Source organism: Homo sapiens, chromosome 1, assembly GCF_000001405.40.
Source record: "Homo sapiens chromosome 1, GRCh38.p14 Primary Assembly".
Classification (NCBI taxonomy): domain Eukaryota; kingdom Metazoa; phylum Chordata; class Mammalia; order Primates; family Hominidae; genus Homo; species Homo sapiens.
Window position 1 is genome coordinate 224,380,598 of NC_000001.11, and position 25,397 is coordinate 224,405,994.

Sequence of the window (25,397 nt, forward strand, 5' to 3'; positions counted from 1 at the left end):
CAAACAGCAGAGAAAAAAAATAAACTTACAGTCATTCTTCTTTTATCCATTACCTACCACCTTCTTTGCCCTCCACTGCCCTCCATTTTGAAGCAAATCCCAGACCTTGTTACATCTGTCATATTTTAGTATGTTTCTCTGTAAGATAAGGGTTCTTAAAACACATGCGACTAGAGGAGCAGTGTCACACAAACTGGCAATTCCTTAGAATTAAGTATCTAGGCCAGGCACAGTGGCTCATGCCTGTAATCCCAGCACTTTGGAAAGACAAGGTGGGAGGATCACTTGAGGCCAGGAGGTCGAGACACCCCTAGGCAAAATAGTGAGACCCCATCTCTTAAAAAAAAATTAGCCGATATAGGCACCTATATAGTCCTAGCTACTTGGGAGGCTGACGTGGAGGGATGGCTTGAGCCCAGGAGTTCAAGGTTACAGAGAGCTATGATCACATCTCTGTACTCTAGCCTGGGTAACAGAGCAAGACCCTGTCTCTTGAAAAAAGATTAAAATTTGTTGTGGAGGTTTCCCTCTACAAAACTTGAGTCTGTTTTACAATTAGAGCAATCAGGCCGGGTGCGGTGGCTCATGCCTGTAATCCCAGCACTTTAGGAGGCCAAGGCAGGCAGATCACTTGAGGGCAGGGGTTCAAGACCACCCTGGCCAACATGGTGAAACTTCATCTCTACTAAAAATACAAAAATGGGGCACGGTGGCTCACGCCTGTAATCCCAGCACTTTGGGAGGCCGAGGCGGGTGGATCACAGGGTTAGGAATTCCAGACCAGCCTGACCAACATGGTGAAACCCCGTCTCTACTAAAAATACAAAAATTAGCCAGGCGTTATGGCGGGTGCCTGTAATCCCAGCTACTTGGGAGGCTGAGGCAGGAGAATTGTTTGAACCTGGGAGGCAGAGGTTGCAGTGAGCCGAGATCGCACCACTGCACTCCAGCCTGGGCAACACAGTGAGACTCCATCTCAAAAAAATAATAAAAATAAAAAATAAACAAAAATTAGCCGGACATGGTGGTGCGTGTCTAGTCCCAGCTACTTGGAGGCTGAGACGTGATATAATCGCTTGAACCTGGGAGGCAGAGGTTGCAGTGAGCTGAGATCCACCACTGCACTCCAGCCTGGGTGACAGAGCGAGACTTAAAAAACAAAAAAACAAAAAACCCCGAAGCAATCAATATGAAGGAGTCTCCTGAATTTCAAGTGTCATTTCCTTCTGTCAGTTAAGGAGTTCACTAGAATCAAAGTGGGGCCTTAAACTTTTCATCTATCTTTGACAAGTTTTAACAGTCAATTTTTCCAAGGTAAGTGGCCATCTATAGACACCAAAGAAATATTATATGGTGTAGTGACTAAAAACATGAGCTCAGAGGCACCTAGGTTTGAGTCCCAGCTCCTTCATACATATACCTTTTAAAGCCTATTTCCCTCATTTGTAAAATGAGAATTAGCATATCTGCCCCACAAAGCTACTTTGATATTTAAATGAGAATATATATGAATGGCTCACACTCATAGTGATTGGCCTACAGTAAGCACCCAAATGAATACTTGTTGCTCAATAACCAAATAGGTGTATGTGAAATAGGTGTAAAATTAATGTGGTTAGTTCCTCCGAATGCCCTTCTTGCTCCTGCTTTTTGTTCTTTTCACTGATGTAACATAGCATTATGGTCTTGTGGTTGGTTTTCAAACACCAACAAATGAATTGGTACCAGGCTGACAGCATAAAATTACCTTGTCTTGAGCAGTGACTCACACCTATAATCCCAGCACTTTGGGAGGCCAAGGTGGGAGGACTGCATAAGGCCAGGAGTTCGAGACCAGCCTTGGCAACAAAGTGAGACGCTCCCCCTACCCGTCTCTGCATAAAAAAACTTAAAAATAAAATTACCTGGAGTGTTCACACACACACACAAATTCCAGATCTCCCTTTTGAGATCTGAAAGGTGCCTCAGAAATCTGAAACTTAGAAAAGCCCCCAACTGACTCACATGCATTTGGATTTAGAGGTTAAAATTGCAGGCTTTGGAATAACAGGTTATATCTTCAAGCTTATCACCTGGAAAATAGTGGGCAGTAATACTTGTTTACAGTAGACAGTTAAATAATGTACGTGAAATGCTTAGCTTAGTGCCTGGCATCTAACAGGCACTCCAATTGTCTACTTTTACTAAGAGGAAGAACAGAAAGAAAAAGGAAAACCAATTTAGTTGTTTAGTTTGTGTACAAGTTAACAGAAACTTACTGAAAAGGTCTTTTCATGCAAATCCATTAATGGGACAAAAAAGCCCACTTAAACATACTTACCTGTGAAAGGTTCAGGCATGTTCATCTACAGTTAATTTTCTTTTACAGAATATAGCATATAGATCCAAAATGTATTTTGTTTCCTATCAGAAGTGCATCTGCCTGTTCTTTAAAAAAGATTTTTAAAAAGTTTTGTTGATGTTAATAAAATCAGGGATCCCTTTTCTGAATGCTTAGGACACAAACTGATATTCTTCAGCTATGGGGGATGAGGGAAAATTATTCAACATTTGGAAACTACCTGGAATACAATTTCCAATCCAATGTGTAGCTCTATTTCTTATATTCAAAACAGTAGGGAAAAAAGCCACACAGGCATTTTCTTATGTTTTTAAAAATAAGCTAAAGTTGCAGTGAAATCACTTTTATTCCAGATCTGTTCTATCACCATGGCTAATTGTCTTAAATGTCTTTCCTGAGCGTATGAAAGAATTCTAAAGTCTTAATCATATAGGAAGGACGAATGTACATAAAGTTGCGCCAACTTTAATATCATGACCAAGGAAGCCACTACTCCTTACATCAGAAAGGGAAGTTAAAACTTGTCTCATCTGAGAACAAGAAACAAAACACAACAAAATAAACTTGATTGAAAATTTGCTATTTGTCCTTTTGATTCCCACATTAGCTATAATTACATGCTGATTTAATAACTTTAAGTACATGACTAGAATGTTTCATATATAGCAAGCTCATTTAAGTAGGCTAATCAAGTTTGAGGGAGAAGAGCCTACTGCCACAAAACCAACAACAAAGATTCTTGAACGATGTGATATGATGAGGGGAATACTTCTGTTTGTTGAATCTTAAGTTTTAGATTTTTTTGGAAAAGAGAAGTCATTAAATGATGTAATAAAATACCAGTTTTTCTTTTGCTTAAGTGGAAGAGAATTAGATTGTATTTTATTTATTATTATTTTTGAGATGGAGTCTTGCACTGTCGCTCAGGCTGGAGTGCAATGGCGCGAGCTTGGCTCACTGCAACCTCCGCCTTCCAGGTCCAAGCGATTCTCTTGCCTCAGCCTCTTGAGTAGCTGAGACTACAGGCGCCGGCCACCACGCCCAGCTCATTTTTGTATTTTTAATGGAGACGGGGTTTTGCCATGTTGGTCAGGCTGGTCTTGAACTCCTGACCTCAGGTGATCTGTCTGCCTCAGCCTCCCAAAGTGTTGGGATTACAGGCGTGAGCCACTGTGCCCGGCCAGATTGTATTTTAAAAAAAAATCTGTACTCTTAGATTTGTTAAGACTGAGAAAATTTCTATACCTGGTCCTGGGAATTGGCATGGAACTCTAAATGTAGATGAATAAACTGACTAAATTAGCTAAATCTGCTGTTAAGGTATAGCTGTATTTAAAGAAAACAAGTAGAAAAACTTCTTCCTTCTCTTTCCTGTTAATCAGAGGAAGCTGCAAACCATGATTTTCTAAGCCGTGAGCTATGGAAGCAATACCTCTCACAGCTACACTCACCATTAGTCGGCTGCCAAATACTTATTTTTCACATTTGAACTTTATTTTTGAACAAAATAGGGCATGCAATTCCTTTGAAATGCAAATACTCCTAAAATTTTTCTAAGTTTATCCATGAATGCACAGTGGCCCTTAAAAAGACGATCCCAGGCCAGGCGCGGTGGCTCACGTCTGTAATCCCAGCACTTTGGGAGGCCGAGGCAGGTGGATCACGAGGTCAGGAATTCGAGACTAGCCTGGCCAATATGGTGAAACCCCATCTCTACTAAAAATACAACAATTAGCTGGGCGTGGTGGCGGGCGCCTGTAGTCCCAGCTACTTGGGAAGCTGAGGCAGAAGAATCACTTGAACCCGGGAGGCAGAGGTTGCACTGAGCCGAGATCGCACGACTGCACTCCAGCCTGGGCGACAGGGCAAGACTCCGTCTCAAAAAAAAAAAAAAAAAAAAAAAAAAAGATGATCCCAACAGACTAACCACTGCTTCTTTAGCTATCACTCACAAACTCTAGGTACATATATGGAAGGCAAATTCAGCAAATCATAGCCAGGCATGATGGTTTGTGTCTGTTATTTCAGCACTTTTGAGAGGCTGAGTCAGGAGGATATTTTGAGCCCAGCAGTTCAAGTCCAGTCTGGGCAACACAGTGAGACTCTCTCTAAAATACATAAAAAATCAGCAAATGTTTTAGGCAAAAAGAGTACTACTTAAACATTCAGATTAATGGATATTAGGAGATGTAACACACCAAGAATTATTTAGGTATTCATTCTGTTTATTGGATTGAAAGAAAGGGAATACAAACGACTGGTTAAGTGCTGCGCACTGACATGGAAAAAGTGTCTTTAAAAAAAAATCCCAGTAAAGCAAATCAAAGTTAATGTAGTTTCAGTTGAACAAAAATTTAAAGACGTTTAATACATTACACATTTATAAAATAAAAGTCAACAAAGGGTGTTTTGTAAATAATTAGTAAACAAGTGAAAATAAATATCAGAGACCTGAAGTTTTTATACTTTAATGAATAAAGCAAAGAAATTTAAACTAAGTAAATATAATCTGAGAGGCAGTTAAAAAAACAAAAATCAAAACCCACCAAAATTGAAGAACACAATCTTTTGAAACATTTAATCAGTCCATAGCAAATAGTTATTACATACCAAAAGCTCTAAGTGTTAACTAGTTCCACCACAATGCCATGTAAATCTTGACAATTTAGAAATCTTGAGATCAACACTTAAGTTCTTTTCTTGATCTCTACAGCTTGGTTTGTAAGTACATACATGCTTTTGTGGATCTATTCCCCTCGCCACACACACACATTTTCAAGGAGCCAATAACATTTTTTTCCATCTGTGCCTAAAAATGTTACAATTCAGTTCTAGCACATTGACCCTGATAATGAAAATGTTTAAGTTAAAGATGGGGACACAATTTCAATCTTATAAAAATATACCAGTATTAACCAAACCTTAAACTCAGAGGGCACTTCACATGTGCACGAGACTTTCAGTAAAAATGACAAGATCCTAGAACAGCTGTTTCCAGGACTTTTTAATGAATCAAGTACTCTCTCTCTCACACACACACAGAACACACACACACATTTTTATACTATTGGTTTTGTTAAATCCAGGCTATCTGGATTAAGTAGATAGGGGATGGGTTTTTATAGTTTTTATTTTTGTAACTATAGGGCAGCTACTATAACAATAGCTTAACAACACTGAAAAATTTCAATTAAGTTCACCCTGTTTTTAGAAAGTGTCTAAGTGTAAATGCAAATTCACCTCTTCTTAAGTTAGCAGTTTATATTAAATCAGATATGGTTTCTGAAATGGAAGTAATGTGTTGGAGGGCAACCCAAAAGGACAGTTGCGAAATTATGAATGAGAAATTAAAGTAAAACCAAATCAAAATATTTATACATTTTAGAGATGGGACAAAAAGGATATTAAGAAAAATGTCTTCTTTCCTCCCCATTCAAAAGCAGCCATTCTTCTACTGTGAAAGAAACTGACATGGATATTTTCCCTTTCAAGAGATGTATGATATATTTACCCACTGTGAGGCAGAGGTGATAGGGTCAGTTCTTGTTTGCAGGAACCAACATCCTAAAAAAGAAAATGTCAAGATGGGGAGGGGTGGGAAAGAAGGGTTTTCTATTAATGTCATGGAATATGCCACTGTAGAGGCAGAACACTCCTAATAATAACATTCACCAGATTACTACTGCTGTTTTTTTCAGACTAAGAAAATACTGACAAAATTGGATTTTTTTCTCCTTTCAATTGCAGGATATTCTGATTATTTAAAGTTAGGGAATCCCTTTTTTATCCCCCCACCCAATAAAATGGGCCAATTTGTAGGGATATATGCAAATAAAATGTTCTCTGTTTAAAATACTTACCTGGTTTAATATAACACATTTATCTGGCCAATAAGAGCAACAGAAATGTAGCTGTTATGAAGACTAAAAAAATACAAAAACCAAAGCTGAAGCTTTGTCATCCCTCCCCACTAACTCCCACTCCAATTCTTTACTACCCACATACTAATCTCAGTAATCCCCAAGTCCAACATTTTACCATTAATAACCAATTATTTGGAGGAAAAAGACATTTAATTTTATATTTGCTCTAGCCCTTAATCAATGCATAACAACAAAAACATTTTTAAGCACATGGAAATGAGCCTACTAACCTGATTTTTGGAGCCCAAATTCTCCACTCTATTTTGATCTATGTGCAAAAAGTATTGGTACTTTTCAATTTATACATTTGTTAGTATCTTGTGGCTGGCTTCATAGTATAAGACTCACTCTTAAGCCTACTATAGAGCCTACAGCACTATCAGAAGTTTTCAATTAATAGCTATGGATCAGAAAATCCTGCGATCAGTTTCTCATACCATAAAATCCTAGGCTTCTTTACCATTGATTTCACCTTTCGAGCACAGTCACTGCATGGCAAATGTATGAAACAGACGTTTACAGCAAATAAGTACCAGTATGTACAGGAAGCTGCCAGTTAAGACAGACCCGGAAAACAAACTCACCTAGCTGCTATAGAAACCTTTGCATAGTTGTTACTCCGTTTTAATAGGAGTTATGTTCTTGTAAAATGTGCCTCACTTTTACTCCACTTTTTAAAAAGTGTTTTTAAACTGTACTTCAGAAGCACTCTGAAAACTCAGATCTAGGGGTGGTTAGGTGAAGTAGAGTAGAATCTGAGTGCCAAATTGCCCCTGAATGGGCACAAATCTGAGTGTTACAAATGCACCGTAGCACACTGTAACCAAATTTGTAAACAGCTGTGGAGTTTCTATGCCCACATTTAGTGATGTTACCATAGAGACTGGGGTGTATTAACGGCTTCAGGGTATACATGAATCACTTAAAATATGAATGGTTTTTAACTATACTGAGGTAAAGAGAAGTTGCCACTTAATTACATACAGTTACCAATGAAGATTTTTATTCAAGCTTAAAGTAAAAAGTAATTTTAGTTAAGAAAAATGAAGTACCAGATAAACTGTAACATATATTTTAACTTAGAAGTATCAAAACAGGAATTTTTTGATTCTCTAAGTGGTGGTCTCTGCAAAATGGAGCTTGAAGAAATCTTTTACATACCAATTTGATAAGAGTCTGCTGACCACGATCTGTCATTTTCTTTACTATGGGCTTCTGGGAGAATGCATGCTATTTTAAGGCCAAATGTGTTTTTCTTTCTTCTCCCCTTCCCTGACTTTTCCCTTTCTCCCATCCCCGACCACCTACCCCACAATGGAAGAATTTTTGACATCCAAGCCCTCTTCTCTTTGTGGATTCTGGAGTCTATTCATGATCATAATTATATTATAGACTTGGCTACACCTAAAGGGGAACTTAGTACAAGACTTTTTCTTCACCAGAATCTTATTTTGGGGGTATCCCCATTCTCATTCCAACAGCTGGAGTCACCCTATTTATCCTCTACTGAAAAAGGGAGGGAATTTCAAGGGAGACTATGTTATGTTGTATTCAGCTGTTACGGAGTTTAAAAGCACAATGTGAACATCAGGCTTTTGGCTTATTTTAAATGTGAAATTCTCAAAATTAAAAGTGCTTTTCCATGAAGGAAACCTTTCCTTAAACTAAAACAGGAGGGGAGAGGGAAAGACTATCCACAGCACCAGTTTAGAATGAGGTTCAGTATGGCAATATCTGAAAAAACTGAGAAAAAATATTCTTTAAATTTATGTATCCCTATATGTCAAAATATTAAGGGCAATTAAGAAAAATGACTATGAGGTTTTAATCCCAGTTTAAGTATGTCTGTAACCTGCTGAATTCTTCTAATAATTTCAATTATACTATAAACTTCCAAAGTGGTTGTATCGCTGATTCCTACTCTTTTGCTAGATCACACCAAAATTACTTCCTAAGTTGAGAACAACTTGGAACAAGCTTTACTGAAAACCAACTGACTACTGATGTCTCATGTTGGTGTATTTAAAATTCTTTTTGAATCTTGAATTTCTTCAAGATCGGGTACTGATGTTCCTTCAGGAATAAAACAAAAGGGGGGAAATCTTCAAAGCATTACTCTGAATTTCTTGTGTAATGTCCTTCCAAGCACTGTTTCTGACCATGTCTCATGTGGTATTCCAGAAGAGCATCAGTTATACTGTGTATCTAAGTCATTGAGGAAACTGTTTTTAAGCTGGTTTAGATTCCAAATGTATACAAATGAAGTCACTTTAATCCTATAAATACTTCTTAATTTATTTTTAAAAAATTGTGCTGTTAACCCTTTTACGGGGCAACAAGCTATGTGAAAAGTACAAAACTTTTTGTCAAATGTAATATTGAGAGTGCTTTTGACATAGTTCACTGGTTTATCATCTGGATCAGTATATACTGCGCAACGGGCAAGGCTAGAATCCATGAACCAAGCTGCAAAGATCTCAAGCTAAATAAGGCGGAAAGATTTGGAGAAACAAAAGAAGGAAATTCTTTCCTATCCAATGTATACTCTTCAGACTAATGCACTCTTTCTATCAAGCCTTCTAAACTGTTAAATAAAGTTTTCCAAACAAGCATTTAAACTTCATTACACAGAAGAGCAACAAGAATGGTATCCTGCCAGACAAAAGACAGGAAGGAAAAAAATATATATACTGAGTTCAATGGGTAAGCCTGAATGTAGCACAGTTCTTCACAACCGATGGGGGAATAATTCAACATGGTGTCCAACAACGTTCTAACGACGTGCTTCATCTCAACTGGTTACTATGAAGCAAGGTGTAAATGTTTGGCCCCAATCGGGCTTCAGAAATGGTTCTTTTTTCATGACGAGCATGTCTGTCCAGCTATCAATCATGTTTGTTTGCACCAAATCCCAAGCCATTAAAATACGACTAATTTTAAGTTAAACAGAAGTCGTCTGCTCCAAATTCACCATCAACTATCCATGCTACTGCATTCCTCTGAATGAAGACAAGATGAAATGTATGGGGGGCGGGCGGGGGAGGGAAGAGGGGAAGGAGAGAAAAAAATTACCAGTTAGAAAGTTTCAAAATTAGCATTATGACATTACAAAATTATACTAACATTAAAAAATCAAAGCAAATTCTTGAAACTTTCATCATACTCATTAAAACAATGTCTGTATCATGTCTTAGACCATATATTATGATCTAAATTCATGATTTTGAATACTGAAGAAACCCAAGTGAATAATCATGTTAGAATCTCATGCTTTTATTTTTTTGAGACAGGATCCCACTCTGCTGCTCAGGCTGGTGATGTAATTTGGGCTCACTGCAACCTCTGCCTCCTTGGCTCAAGTGATCCTTCCACCTCTGCTTCCTGAGTAGCCAGGACTACAGGCACATGCCACCATGCCTGGCTACTTTTTGTATTTTTTGTAGAGACAGGGTTTCGCCATGTTGCCCAGGCTGGTCTTGAACTCCTGAGCTCAAGCAATCTGCCTGCCTTGGCCTCCCAAAATGTTGGGATTATAAGGCACTGGCCACCGTGCCTAGCCTCAGAATCTCATACTTTTAAAATTAACCTTGAGATAGTTAGCAGAATAGATAAATTTTTATGATAGCTACAATAGTAAAGAGGAAAGAAAGATCTGGCAGTCTAAGGTAGAATAACGTGTTATAACTATGGAGTTGTTAATTTTCCTTTTGGTTGCTCTGTTTGAAATTCTACAGTATCATCCTACTCCATTTTTTTGGGGAGGTGTATAACAGCTTTGAGATATAATTCATATTCTATACAAAGCAACCATTTAAAGTGTACACTTTGAACCCGGGAGGCGGAGGTTGCAGTGAGCCGAGATTGCACCACTGCACTTCAGCCTGGGCGACAGAGTGAGACTCCATCTCAAAACAGAAACAAACACAAAAACAAAAAAAACAAAAGTGTAAAATCAATGGTTTTTAGTGTACCCACAGAATTATGCAATCATTAACAATCAATTTTAGAACATTTTCAACATTCATTAGCAGTCAAACACTTCCCCAAGCCCTAAGTAATCACTATATCTATGTTGTCTATAGATCTGTCTAGACTATTTCATATAAATGGAATCATAATATGTGGTCTTGTGTCCTGCTTCTTTCACTTAGCATATTGTTTTCAAGGTCCATTCATACTGTAGCATGCATCGGTACTTCCTTCTATTCCATTTTATGCATCCTTAAAAAAAAAAATATCATGCCTGTAATCCCAGTACTTTGGGAGGCCAAGACAGGCCGACTTCACCTGAAGTCGGGAGTTCAAGACCAGCCTGACCAACATGGAAAAACCCCATCTTTACTAAAAATACAAAATTAGCCGGGCGTGGTGATGCATGCCTGTAATCCCAGCTACTCAGGAGGCTGAGGCAGAATTGCTTGAACCCAGGAGGCGGAGGTTGTGGTGAGCCGAGATTGCGCCATTGCACTCCAGCCTGGGCAACAAGAGCAAAACTCTGTCTCAAAAAAAAAAAAAAAAAAAACAAAAAAAAAACCTTAATTCTACTGTTAAAATTTTATTTTATTTACAGTCCATAATTCTACTGTTAAAATTTTTCCCTTTTGAAATGGAGTTGAGTGTATTTTTATTTAAATGACTTATAGTATTTTACTGTGCTACATTTTTCCTTTTTTGTTTCCTTCAGAGACAGGGTCTCATTCTGTCACCTAGGCTGGAGTGCAGTGGCATGATCATAGCTCACTGAAGCCTCAAACTCCTGGACTCAAGGGATCCTCCTGCCTCAGCCTTCCAAGTAGCTAGGATTACAGGCGCAAGCCATCATGCCTGGCTGTATTTTGATTTTTTTTAATATTGATTTCTTTAGCCTCATCTATATTTTTCGTAAGTTCTATTCTAAATAGGTATTACTTTAATTAGAAAAAGTGTTTTGGGGGTGGAGGGGGAATACTCCAGAAAATAACTTGTGAAAAGGACATTATAGCCAAACATCTGGTTATACAAGTACTGTTTTTTCTATTTCAGGTGAAAATGAAAATCATTTTAGGGCTATACCCATGTTGCCAAAGCACAATGGAGAGTTGCTGAACTGGACCCAGATCCTACAAATTAGCCAAAATTTGGCTCACTCACCAAAGTGAGGATCTACATTAGTCAGATTCACCAAATAGCAGCACACTCTTATTCCATTGCTATGGAGGCATAAAATATATCCTCTTCTGGCTGGTCGCGGTGGCTCATGCCTGTAATCCCAGCACTTTGGGAGGCCGAGGCGGGTGGATCACGAGGTCAGGAGATCGAGACCATCCTGGCTAACACAGTGAAACCCCGTCTCTACTAAAAATACAAAAAATTAGCTGGGCGTGGTGGTGGGTGCCTGTAGTCCCAGCTACTCGGGAGGCTGAGGCAGGAGAATGGCGTGAACCCAGGAGGCGGAGCTTGCAGTGAGCCGAGATCGCACCACTGTACACTGGGAGAGAGCATGAGACTCCGTCTCAAAAAAAAAAAAGAAAAGAAAACATATCCTCTTCTGGAGTAAATCTGTTACTACATACCTAGTATTTTCCTACTTCTTTAAACCAAGTATGTTTATTTGAAGAAATAACTCCCAAATGACTAATAAAATGAGAAAAGCACAGATTGAATCACAGTTGCAGATCTATAAAGACTTTGGGTTTGTAGGCCTTTGGTTGAAACCCAAACAGGACAACACAAGAAGGTAAAGATTTCTGGTCTTAGTTGATTTCCTAGAGGAATGTTAGAATGTCAGGTAGTGATCTATAAATACAAAAATACCCTTCAAGGTTCTGGGCAAATGAACAGTAGTTCTCAAACTTTTTGACTCGTGTGCTCTTCATGTTTTGTATTCTCATCTCTGATTGCATATCCTTACCCGCCAGTAAGATGTGGCCAAGCCTTCTACAGTCTGTACCACAAAGATAAAAGTGTAGGGAATATACTTTTTCAAACCATACATGCTACTCCGATAACCCTCCTCCACAGAGAATCACTTAACTGAGAGCAATTAGTCATCTTTCTCACTAAAAAAAAAAAAAAAATTTAGGTGGGACATGCTTAACAAAAAATCTGTTTATATATAAACTGCTTCCTTCTAAGCAAACCAAACATTTTACGTGCTCTATTTAAGAGAGTCATTTACATGAAGTTTCTCATTATCTCTTTGCTGTAGTACTGATATATCATGTTCAATTAAGTTTTTGGCTTTAACTGTTAGCCTTATATTTTGGCCTTTCTTCATCCCCAAGTATCTCAAAGTGGTGGAAAAAACCTTTCAGACTTAGACTTGAAGACCTGATGGCACTCAACAAGTGAATTAGTTTTGCCATGCTGCAGTTTCCTTACCTCTAAAAATAAAGATAAAAATACTTCCCTTATAGGACTATGAAGACTTTATGCAAGACAGTATATGTAAAGGGATTAGCATGCTGCTTGGCACACAGGTACATGATCAATTTTAGTTCTCTCTTCTCTTTCCCTATCCATTAAACACAACTCATGTTAGTATGATGCATGGTGCAAACAGACGTTTACTTTTTTTTAAAGAGTAAAATCTATAATCAAGATATTTAATATCTAAAGTTGTTAATATTTTGTATGGTTAGTTTCATGTGTATAAAATTCTTCCTACAATATTACGTTTAGGTAGCATGACGAAGCAAGATTTTCAGTAACATTTTTAAAGTGAAACTACTAAATAGCTAACTGGATGTCAATGAGGTATCATATTCCAGCTTATTCTTTTCACTGTGCCCCCCAAAACAACCACTACATTATTGGCTCTTACACTACTTAAACTCATTCTGTGGCCTGAGATAGGGTACAATATGTAAAAGAGAGAAATCATATACCACACTTTAAATAAACTTGCTTAAAACTGCTTTAAGTTCATAATAAGCCGAGTGATGTTTCATTTGGACAAAACATAGTAACATTATACAAAGGTATTACCTTCAATATTCTGGTGGTCTATAAAAGGTGCTGGTCCCCATATTCTAACAGTGCCATCATCTGAGGCGCTGGCCATCATGGATGGAATCTGTGGGTTCCAGCTCACACAGTTTACTGTACGTGTGTGCCCTGTCAGCTCCGCAATTGGCAGTTCACTACGTTTGTGCCAGATGTAAACCTTGTGATCTGAACATATAGTAATTCAGAAAAAAGTTTTACATTAATAAAACCAACTAACTGATCTTAAATTTATCATTCACTACACACAGGACTCTTTACTAGAACTTAAAGGGAAAATAAATATACCATGAATAGTTTAACATGTTACCTTATGAAAAAATGTTTAAATCAAATATACACTTTTTTCCTGTTAAAGGTGATCAGCTCTCATCAAGTCACACACAAAAAAACTATCTGCAATATTCTGTCAATACATGAGTAATGAAGAATTATAAATCAAGGCCTTTGAACATAAACAAATCCAGGATAGAGATAGTGATAAATTCTATGGAAATGGGAAGTGACAGAAAAGCAATGTATCCAAATTGAATACTGAAGCAAAAATGAAGATGACAGCTAAACCTTTATTGGGTGCTTACAAAGTACTAGGTATCAAGTACTTAATGCATATTATTTAATCTTCATCACTACCCCATAAAATGGGTATTCTGCTTATCCTTTTTTTTTTTTTCTTTGAGACGGAGTCTCACTCTGTTGCCCAGGCTGGAGCGCAGTGGCAATATCTCGGCTGACTGCAACCTCCACCTCCCGGGTTCAAGCGATTCTCCTGCCTCAGCCTCCCGAGTAGCTGGGATTACAGGTGTGTGTGACCATGCCCGGCTAATTTTTTGTATTTTTAGTAGAGATGGGGTTTAGCCACGATGGTCTCCATCTCCTGACCTCGTGATCCGCCCATCTCAGCCTCCCAAAGTGCTGGGATTACAGGCATGAGCTACTGCGCCCCGCCTGCTTATCCTCTTAATGGTGATTGAAACATAGGTTATGGTTAAGTGGTCTGCTTATGGTTAACAGCTAGTAAATGGTAAAGTTGGGATTCAAATCCAGGCAGCCCTGCTCAAGAGCTTACTAGTGAGAGTAGACAATGGTCCCTTATCTGCATCATGATATGGCTTTGTAGACTATAATCTCATGAAGTGACCACAACAATCAAAATCCCCTACAGCTTTCTTTGTAATAAACGAATCTTCAAAAAACTAGCCACATAGTATAGAGAGTATTGGTTGAGAGTATGGGCTCTGGAATCAGACTACTCAACATTGTATCCTTCCTCCAACACTGACTAGCTGAGCAACTTTGGGCAAATTACTCTTTACAACCCTTCACCTGTAAATGGGGATACTAACCTCATATCATGTTGTTATAAGGATTAAATATATTTGTATGTGGAAAGGTGTTTGGAATAAACACCATTTACTACTGTGACGAGATTAAGTACAGGTGATGGTTCTTGAACAGAGGGCAGAATCCCAGGGCAAATTAGAAAGGTGTATAACTTAATGATATATCAGTTAAGTATGGCCAATGTGCAAACTGTCAGTGGGTGTACTGCCAGTTGAGGAAACCTTAGAGGATGTGCCTTAGCTTCAAAATTTCTGACATGAAGATAAAAAGCTGGAACTGTATCTGAACTTTTTGTGTGTGTATGTGTGAAGCAAAAGCTAAAAGGCACCAATTTAAAAACTGAATTTATCTTCTTAGAAGTATCTGCTGCTCAATAATTTTTGAAAATAATTTTTTCTTACATGAAATGAAATTAGGAAAAAAAAAAAAAAAAGTAAAGACAGGTTAGCTGTATTTCCTTCCTAAACTGAAGAGGTCCACAAGGAGAAGGATCACAGGGTTAAAGTGTGAATGCAATTGAATATTTCTCTATTTGGTGGAAAATGTTTTTGTGAATATATATTCAAGGAGCACATTTGGTGAAAGGCAGGAAAAACCGGGTTTGAAGTAATCAAGGTCAAAATGACAGGCTTTATCATCAAGCTCTGTTTGCTGTATCAATCTGAGAAATCTATTGTTTATGCAAAGGTAAAAAAGTCCAGTTTTTCTACATATTGCCAGCACAATGAAAAGGCTTGAGTAGTGGTATAACTTTTTTGGGAAACGGTTTTTAATTGCTCTATTTTATACTGGCACTTATATATTTGGGGATTTGGAGGGTCATTGAAATATATTCCTTACAAATAAATGGCAAATGGATTACTGTGGTCATCCTGGGAGATAATATACTCGCTATATCTGATTGATGTTCAAAACATTTTCAAAACCATTCTAAATCACTTGAGTCATGAGAAGACTAATCTCTGTACTTGACAGTGGTCTAATTTGTAGCCCTAAACCAGAAGATAATGTGGTTTAATTATAGTATTCATCGTTGTTTCTAAGTTAGTTTGGGCTTAAAAAAAAGTTTGGCTTTTCTAGGGATAATGGTAGCCATACATAATTTTAAGTACCTCTAGGGTACACAGAAAGAGCTGTAAGGGATTCTCAGGCATAATTAAGAGAAAGAAAACCTACCAGAAGCAGGATTGAATAGACCATGGAAGAAGACATCTTATAAACAGGAGGAATTTAAAAGCAAGAAGGCTTAACATATTTAGACCACAGGAAAATTTAATTAGAAACTAATGTCTATTATCTCCCGCGATATATTAAAAACAGACAGACAAAACAAAACAAAAAGCCAATAGAGAATCTAGAAGTAGTGGAAAAAACTAAATTTCCTGACTGGAAAAAAGTAAATTCCCAATTGCTACCTAACCACTCTTCTTTCCTCCCAATCTCATCTGACGCTGATTTTCGGTAGAAAGAAAGAATTGATGAATTCAGGCTGGGCGCGGTGGCTCATGCCTGTAATCCCAGCACTTCAGGAGGCTGAGGCAGGTAGACTGCTTGAGCTCAGGAATTCAAGACCAGCCTGGGTAACGCGGTGAAACCCCATCTCTACAAAAATTTGTTGGGGCTACTTGAGGGGCTGAGGAGGGAAGGACTGCTTGAGCCCAGGAGGTGGAGGTTGCATCAAGATCGTGCCATTGCACTCAAAAAAAGAAAAGAAAAGAAAAGAAAAGAAAAGGAATAGATGAATTTATATGCTTGATGTTAAAATCTAAATCTCTAAATGTCTCTCTTTGTCCCAATCCTTAAATATGCCTTATTCTTAAAGGTAAACCTCATGTGCACTTTATGATCCTCTTATCTACCAAGATCAGTTTTTTGTCAAGATAGGGATAGTAAACATCTTATACAATAAATGGAACATAACATAATCTAATTCCTTGGTCTATCTTATAAAACCAGATTCAGTATATATTTTTTTACTTTTTGTAGAGACAGTGTCTAGCCATGTTGCCCAGGTTGGTCTGGAACTCGTGGCCTCAAGCAGTACTCCCATCTAGGCCTCCCAGAGTGTTGAGATTACAGGTGTAAGCCATCATGCCCGGCCAAAAAAAGTGACTTAAATAATTTGCTTTTATAGTACCTAGAAATGTACAGTGGGTATTGAAGAAAAATGTGTTGAATAAAAACTTGCAATAATTTGCCACTAGTTAAGTTCCTATCGCCTTAAAAAGTACACTAATTTTTATTACTGCCTCACTTATTTGTGCTTGCATCTTCTAAACAATTCACACTTTAGAGTGACTTTAGGCATATTCCTGTCTGGAATACTGACACTTTTAGATTAGAGAACAAGTTTATTCAAAAGGGTAGTAGTAGGAAGAATAATTTCAGCTTTCCTAAAATCTTAAGAATTATCAAACTCAATTATAACTCTGGTGACCGCTGAAGAAATACTGAAGAACTAACTATAGTCAAATCTGTCCAAGTTCAGGTAGAGCATCATAATTAACCTTGATTTTTCAGATACTACCAACCCTTAAAAACCATCAGTCCCATGAAAATACAAGTCAACATATGAAAGTATAATAATTTAACTAAATCTTGATTAGACACATGCACCAAACACACTGCTACGTGGTCAGAATAAGCACTGCTAATCCGTGACAATACATGACAATATGGAGGGCTTAGGTCATTACAGAAAAGGAGAAAGTAATACATGACAGCATGTGACAATTTGTGATAATACAGGGGCTTAGGTCATTACAGAGAGAAATTAACCGTGTATTGGATAAATGAAAGAATTTTAACTTACTACCCTGAATTTTCTTGGAGACATGACTGCCTTCATAAATTGAGATTTACAGACTTTAATATCAACATATGTAAACTGATAAGGACACAATTTACCTTCACTGCCACTAGCGATGAAGTCTTCATTATGGCCTCCAAAACATGAATGAATTGTATAAAACCCTTGTGTAACACCTTGATACTTTCTTACTAAAACTCTGTCTTGCAAGTCCCATAAATGAACTCCCTGCAGGCAAAGGAGAATACAGATATTTAATCTGCCTCAACTCAAACAAATTTTAAAAAGTATCTGTAAATATCCCTTTGCCTGATGAAATATCTTCATTTTCTATTATGCAAAATACCAACATTCTGACAAATTTATGGTTGATTATACACATTTAAGGATCAATCACATGCAATCAAATTTAAGGGTAAGTAGAAAATTTTGTTAATATAAATACACTGAAAATAACAGTTAAAATAAAACTTGTACTAAGCCAAATTTTTCAGAAAATTATACTAATAAACATACCTGAGTTGCTACATTTAACAAAGCTAATCGGCCATTTTTTGAAATAGTAAAAGACATAATAGGATGATCTTCTTGTACTCTGGAACCAGAAAATAATTTGTCAAAAACAACATATTAACAGTCAAGACATTCAAATTATCAATACATAAGATGTGCTAGCTTAAGTATGACAATTTTGCCTGCAATCACTATTACATACTATACTTCAATTGAGAAGAATCTGAGTTACTGATTACTAAGTACCATGTGACCTTCAATCCAAATTACCACGCAAACCAAAACGAAAAACATAAAAACTGTGAAAAGGCAAGTTCCACTACACATTTGAATATAAATCAGGTAATTGTTGTTTAATGGAAACAAAAAATAGTTACATGTTCCTATCTGTAAGGTCCTCGAAGTTATAGCCCCGAATTCGCTGGTGTGTATCTGATGCCAGAACAGTCTTTCCATCACTCAAGCACCAAAGGCATTGCACTCTTACCCCTTCCCAGGAGTCAAGGAGATTACCATCTAAGTCCTGAGTAAGAAAAAACTACTATTAACTTCATTACTCAACAGCACTCAGAAAGCAAATAAAGAACCAAAAGACTCCCTTCACAATATCTTTTAGTAACAGGTTTTTTTTTTTTCCTGAGACTGATCTCAACCTAATTGTTCTAGAAGTGTTTTTAACCATGAAAATTTGAATATAGTTCAAATTTCATTACAACCATACTTAAGGGAAAGCAGAGAGACACTTTGTAGCTCTATCTTCCCTTCAATAACTCACCATGCATAAATAACACAAAGAAAGAAACAGTCCCTAAGTTCCAAGTAAGGTCTTACTTTTATTCAAAAACAATTTAAACGTTCCTTTAAAATTCACTATACTGGAATTTGTCCTAATATTTAGGAGTTGTGAAATGGAAAAAGATTCTAAAACATTTTACAGCTTCATACAGACTGGAGGAATCTGTTAATGACATTTTTCAAAAATTTACCAAATTTGTAATGTGCTCTACAGATCAAAGCTCTTATAGTCATTATCTCATTGAATATCCAAAGTTCTGAGAGGAACAACCCTTCCCATTTTATAAGTTAGATAATCCTGTATCTTGATGGCTTAACACAGTATAGGACAGCAAACTCAGCAGAAACATACATGATCATCTTGCACGCAGGGAATTAAGAACAATTCATAACCATATTGAGATAATATAACACCAAAATCCATGTGTTCCAAACGAGCTTAATAAAAGAAACTGATAACCTGTTTTAGCTAAATTAAATGATTTATTATCTTGTTTTAGTTTAAAAAATTGATCTGGGGTCGGGTGTGGTAGCTCATGCCTATAATCCCAGCACGTTGGGAGGCCAAGGCGGGAGGATCATTTGAGCCCAGAAGTTTGAAGCTGCAGTGAGCCATGATCACACCAATGTACTCTAGCATGGGTGGCAGAGAGCAAGACCCTGTCTCTTAAAAAACAACAAAAAAAATGTGGACGTGCATACTGGGACCATGTGAGTCTGTAATATGAGACACAGAATCTAGACTACACTGCAAGTAACAGAGAAAGTTTTATGGCAAGGTAAACAATGATTTATGATATAAATGATACTTATGATATAAAGTTTACCTTGCCATAAAACTTATTTTTATCATTCCAACAATTCAAAATAATTAGGGCAGCTACTTATTAGAAGCTGACACAAAGATTGAAAAGTACTCTGGTAGCACCTGTCACCACTTTTATTATTCAAATATTAAAGGGAGTCTACTCATAAAATTCAGTGTTTTTTTTTTTTGGTTACAAAAATCTCAAAAGAAATTTAAAAAATCTTTTCAATTCTTATAAATTAGAAACTTGCTCATAAAAACAAAAATGTTTAGCAAAACACATTTTTTTGTTCTACTAAATCCAAAGTCTATACTTTGTACAAACATTTGAAATGTTTAAAAGAAAGGAAAAAAATGACCCAGAAAATTCTATTGGACAGCGCTTGTCTACGACGACAGCAAAGTAGGTGTTCATAGAGTATATTTTGTTTTATTTATGTATTTTTTTGAGACAGAGTTTCACTCTTGTTGCCCAGGCTGGAGTGCAATGGCGCGATCTTGGCCCACTGCAATCTCCGCCTCCTGAGTTCAAGCAATTCTCCTGCCTCAGCCTCCCGAGTAGCTGGGATTACAGGCACCCACCACCATGCCCAGCTAATTTTTGTATTTTTAGTAGAGACAGGGTTTCACCATGTTGGCCAGACTGGTCTTGAACTCCTGATCTCAGGTGATCCACCTGCCTCGGCCTCCCAAAGTGCTGGGATTACAGGTGTGAGCCACCATGCCTGGCCCACAGAGTATACTTTGTAAGATACTGAGTCAAGGAAATTGTTTAAACAAAAGTACATTTGCTTTTAAACCAACAGATACTGGGAAGGGGGCACTGAATACTTACACACTGATAGAACTGCCCACGCTGACCTCCAGTCACAAAGCGCTTCCCATCTGGATTCCAAGCCACACTTGTCAAACTGTCTTCATGAGACTGGCTCATTTTTGTCCTTAGTTCTCCTGTCTATAAGGAAATAAAACTGTAAATGAGACCTTCAAGATACCCCTCTAAAGGAATTATGTGAGAAAAAAAAAATAACTGGGATGTCTGGCTGGTTTCCCAGTTCATTCTAAGTAGAGTAATGAATTAAGTGACCCTACAAAAAAGAGACAACAGCACTCAGAAGAGAAATTAAGAACTTGAAGAAAAACCCAGCAGTTGAACAATGTCTGGCACAGGTAACCCAAAGAGTAGATATGATGAGATAAACTTCAATAAATCTCTCATCGCAAATCAATTATATGCATAAACTAAAACATGTAATTTTTCCCAAGCAAGATAATGAAAAGCCCAAGACTACATACCTATTCCTTCTGAGCTTCCACTTCTCAGTCCAAAGTTTTTTATAAATTTTATTCTACAACTGCAGTTAATGCAATTAGCAATTCCTCAAGAACATGATTAATGAGTAAAAAACTGTACCCATACATGGTGGTGCATGCCTATAATCCCAGCTATTCAAGAGGCTTAGGCACGAGAATCACTTGAACCCAGGCGGTGGAGGTTGCAGTGAGCTGAGATCATGCCACTGCACTCCAACCTGGGTGACAGAGTGAGACTGTCTCAAAAAAAAAAAAAAAAAAGAAAAAAAAAAAGAAAAAAGAAAAAAAAAGAGAAAAACTATGCCCATAAAGTAGGCAAAGGGCAGTCTACATAAATTATGTTAAATTTCATATTCAAATGCTCACAATATAGTAGGGAAGGTAGAAAGAGAGAAAAAAACATTTTTCTGATACACAACCTTATTTCAATGAAAAGTACTAGAAAGAGGAACCTGTGTACTGTTTAACATAGCCATTCCGTGGCATTTCTAAGTAAGAATATTTAGTGGCTACAACCCTCAGGTATCCTCCTGTTACATTTTCTGAATTACTCAACTTAGAAGGTATACACATACCATTTAATCTAGTCTTGATTCCATTTTGTTCATGGATTAGAAACAGGATCTGAGAGATAATAGCTGCCCTTGGTGTAATAATAAAAGGTACATGGGGATAGTTTTCCTGTGAGAAATGGGTAATCAAAAGTAGAAATAAAAGAGTGAAAACAAAGGGTATGATTAGGAAATGGGGCCAAGTACTAAAAGAGGGCACAAAAACAGAAAACCAGGTTTCCCTTACACTGGAAAAAAAGTGTTCAGCAATATAAATCCTTCCCCCAAATTGTTAACTACTCTCCCCTATTTACTCTTTTGGGTTGACTGATATAAACAGTTGAAAGTTTAGAGCACAAATACACAAGCAATAGCTAAATTCTTGGCATTTTCCATTGACAAATACATTAACACACTAAATTCTGAAGGCAGAAATGGTTTGTCTTCTCTTATTATGCTCTAAATAGTGAGTACATGAGGTTATTAGATTAGAAAGGATTTTTCTAATTTAAGAAATGATTAAAGAAATCTGAAAACTGATTAGATCACCCTTTTAGAAGAAGTTTTAAGTATATAAAGTACTACACAATGAAAGTTATGTTAGAACACAGTTTAATTGGTCAAAGGAAGACTACAAAGGCACTCTACATTAAATTTCTGTTACAGGATTAAGACAACATACTTTCTCCTTTGGAAGGTGGAAAGAAAGCTTTAATGGAAAAAAGTTTTCATTGATCTTCTAGGTCAGACTCACTGCAAGCTCTGTTTTACTGAGAGAAAGCAATTTTAACATTCTACTCTATGTTTTGCCACCTCCCTGAACCCAATCACAAATACAGCATTGATTAAATGCTGATTTGACAAAAATGGCATAAAACACATTTTGGGAACAATTGTGGATTTTGATCATGAGTACTAGATATTAGAGAATTATAGTTAATGTTCTTAGATATCATAATGTTTGAATAGGTAGAACGTTATTTTTTAAAAGATACATGCTTAAGTATTTAGGGTAAGATATCTAATTTACTTTCAAATATTTTAGATATGTATATATATGTAATATATATGTAAGTACAAATGCACATTTCTTTTTTTTTTTGAGATGGGAGTCTCACTCTGTTGCCCAGGCTGGAGTGCAGTGGCACGATCCCAGCCTGCCTCCTGGGTTCAAGCGATTCTCCTGCCTCAGCCTCCCGAGTAGCTGGGATTACAGGCGCCTGCCACTGCACCTGCTAATTTTTGTAGTTTTAGTAGAGACGGGGTTTCACCATCTTGGCCAGGCTGGTCTTGAACTCCTGACCTCGTGATTTACCCACCTCGGCCTCCCCAAGTGCTGGGATTATAGGCGTGAGCCACCGCGCCCGGCCACAAATGCATGTTTCTATGCATGTATGTACAAACAAAATATCACAAAATGTTAACAATTGTTGAATTTACAGTGGTGGGCACATAGATCATCATTGTCCTATTTTGACTTTTCTTAATATTTGAAAATTTTCTTAATAAAAAGCTGGAGTTGAAACAAGGAAATGACTGACAGCAAGGCAGTCTTACTATTATAACTACAGGGTTTCTAAAACATGAACTGTAAATAACAAACTGAACCTAATGCCGACTTTTCCTAAAATGGGACCCTGCATAAAATTCAAATTTTCATATATAAACAGCAATGGACCGGGCACGGTGGCTCACGCCTGTAGTCCTAACACTTTGGGAGGCCGAGGCAGGCGGATCACTTTAGGTGAAGAGTTCGAGACTAGCCTGGCCAACATGATGAAACCTCTTCTCTGCTGAAAATACAAAAATTAGCCAGGCGTTGTGGCGGGTGCCTGTAATCCCAGCTACTCTGGAGGCTGAGGCAGGAGAATCGCTTGAACCCAGGAGGTGGAGGCTGCAGTGAGCCGAGATTGCGCCACCGCACTCCAGCCTGGGCGACAGAGCGAGACTCTGTCTCAAAAACAAACAAACAAACGAACAAACCAAGCAATAAAGCCCTTAGGAATAAGTACTGAAAACATCAGTTAGCTTCACTAAACTAGCTTAGTATATTAAATATAGGCAAGGAGATGGTGCAACTGCCATCAGAATCGAAAATTTGGTTTAATGCTGACCTTTAACATTTCAAAGGTAGGTGTAATGTACAATTGTGAAACTATGAAACCATTATAAAATTCTTTCTGAAGAACCACAGTAAATAGCATAAATTCCATAGGACAAAGCCAAACATCCTGAAAACACTTACTGATCATTCTTCCAAAAATATATTACTGAGCATAATACTTAAATTGATAAATCTGGAAACTTGGGTTCCACTTGAATAACTAAGAGATACAGTATAGTAATTTAGGTTGAATGGTTATATTATATAAATCAATAAAGTTATAATGAATATGTACATTATGACTATGCTGTACTTAAAAGCTCAACCAAAGATGGAACTCGCTCACTTGTACATTCCAAAGCCAAAGCTCAGAGCAGTCATCTGGGCCACAAGCAACAAGATAGTTGTCATCTGGACTCCATGCAATATAAGAAACGCCATAAGCATGTCCTTCTAATGTTTTAAGCAGTTTTAGCAGGTGTGTATCCTGGGAGGGAAAATAAACAATTCAGTTAACCCCTATCACTAAAGTCATTGTTTCCCAATGTAAGAACTTAAATAGCTACAAAGATGTACTTTGATAATTTAATCTGAGGAAATTTTCAGACCAATTTTCCCTTTAACAGCTTGCTTCATAAAGACTCATTCACATTGCAACATCTATTAAGCATCTACTACACTATTAGGCATCTACTATATACAAGTCATTGTGTACTTGATGAAAATATAAAGATATATTAACATTTTTAATATATGTATAAAGATATATTGAATTTGACCTTAGAAAGCTTTCAAGGCAACTGAAAACAGATGGGTATAATAAGAGCTATCTCTTACATATTTTTAAACAACTTGAGATATAACTTACCATAAAATTCATCCTTTTAAAGTATACAACTCAGTATATTTTAGTATATTCAGAGTTGTGCAACCATCACACCATCTAATTTTTAGAACATTCTCATCATTTCCCAAAGAAACCTCCTACCCATCAGCAGCTGCCATACCCCTCCCTGCAGCCCCTGGCAACCACTACTTTCTGTCTCTGTCTCTATAGATTTGCCTATTCTGGACGTTTCACATAAATAGGCTTATACATGATGTGGTCTCTTTTAATTGGCTTCTTTCAGTTAGCATGTTTTCAGGGTTCATCCGTGTTATAGAATGTATTAGTATTTAATCTCTTTTTATTGCTGAATAATATTTAACAGTATAATTATTTTGTTTATCCATTCATGAGGTGATGAACATTTGGACTGTTTCTCTACTTTTTGGCTATTATGAATAATGCTGTTATGAATATGTATGAGTTTTTGTGTAGACATATGTTTCCATTTCTCTTGGGTATATACATAGGAGTGGAATTTCTGGGTCGTATGCTAACTCTGTTTAACATTTTGAGAAACTGCCAAACTGTTTTCCAAGTGGTTGCACCATTTTACAATCCTACCAGCAAAGCTACCACTTATTAATGCTAACCACTACTAGCACTATTCATAAACAATACTTCATTTAATTCTCACAAATCTAGAATATTACCCCCTCTCATATTATAGGGAAAGAAACGAAAGTTTAGAAAGGTTAGAAACATGCCTGTTTGTAGTGCAATGGGGATTTGAATCTGGGCTGCCTCACTTAAAAGCCCATATTGTATGCTATGCAAGCTGAACTGTGAAGTGCAAATGTAGACGTGGCAAGTGACAAGGCTGCAAGAGTTGACATGTTTGTTGTAGGCTAAGGGGTTACATTTTCCCTGTGTGTGAAAAGCCACTTAAAATTTGTAAGCTAGGGAATATACAGTGTGATATTTGGCTTTAGGAAGAGAACTAGGATAACAATGTGGAAGATGAATCAGAAAGACACAGGATAAGGCAACCATAAAGGGACAATGGAACCATAATGAGCCATACA

At 37.2% G+C, this 25,397-nt stretch overlaps 1 protein-coding gene and 1 non-coding gene across 4 annotated transcripts in view; both read right to left on the reverse strand.

Moving 5' to 3' along the window:
* The window catches only part of WDR26 (WD repeat domain 26), a 49,652-nt gene continuing 28,803 nt past the window's right edge, over positions 4,549 to 25,397 (reverse strand). For all 3 annotated transcript variants that reach the window (NM_001115113.3, NM_025160.7, NM_001379403.1), the window contains exons 8-14: positions 23,833 to 23,973; positions 20,353 to 20,472; positions 18,292 to 18,437; positions 17,918 to 17,996; positions 17,500 to 17,629; positions 13,231 to 13,416; positions 4,549 to 9,263 (exon numbers count right to left, since the gene is read on the reverse strand). In NM_001115113.3, the coding sequence (NP_001108585.2) occupies positions 9,238 to 9,263; positions 13,231 to 13,416; positions 17,500 to 17,629; positions 17,918 to 17,996; positions 18,292 to 18,437; positions 20,353 to 20,472; positions 23,833 to 23,973 (828 nt within the window). In that variant the 3' untranslated portion in view covers positions 4,549 to 9,237. The remainder of the gene's footprint in view (positions 9,264 to 13,230; positions 13,417 to 17,499; positions 17,630 to 17,917; positions 17,997 to 18,291; positions 18,438 to 20,352; positions 20,473 to 23,832; positions 23,974 to 25,397) is intronic.
* Positions 17,630 to 17,714, reverse strand: MIR4742 (microRNA 4742). Its single transcript, NR_039896.1, has one exon. It is a non-coding gene; the product is annotated as a microRNA 4742 (primary transcript).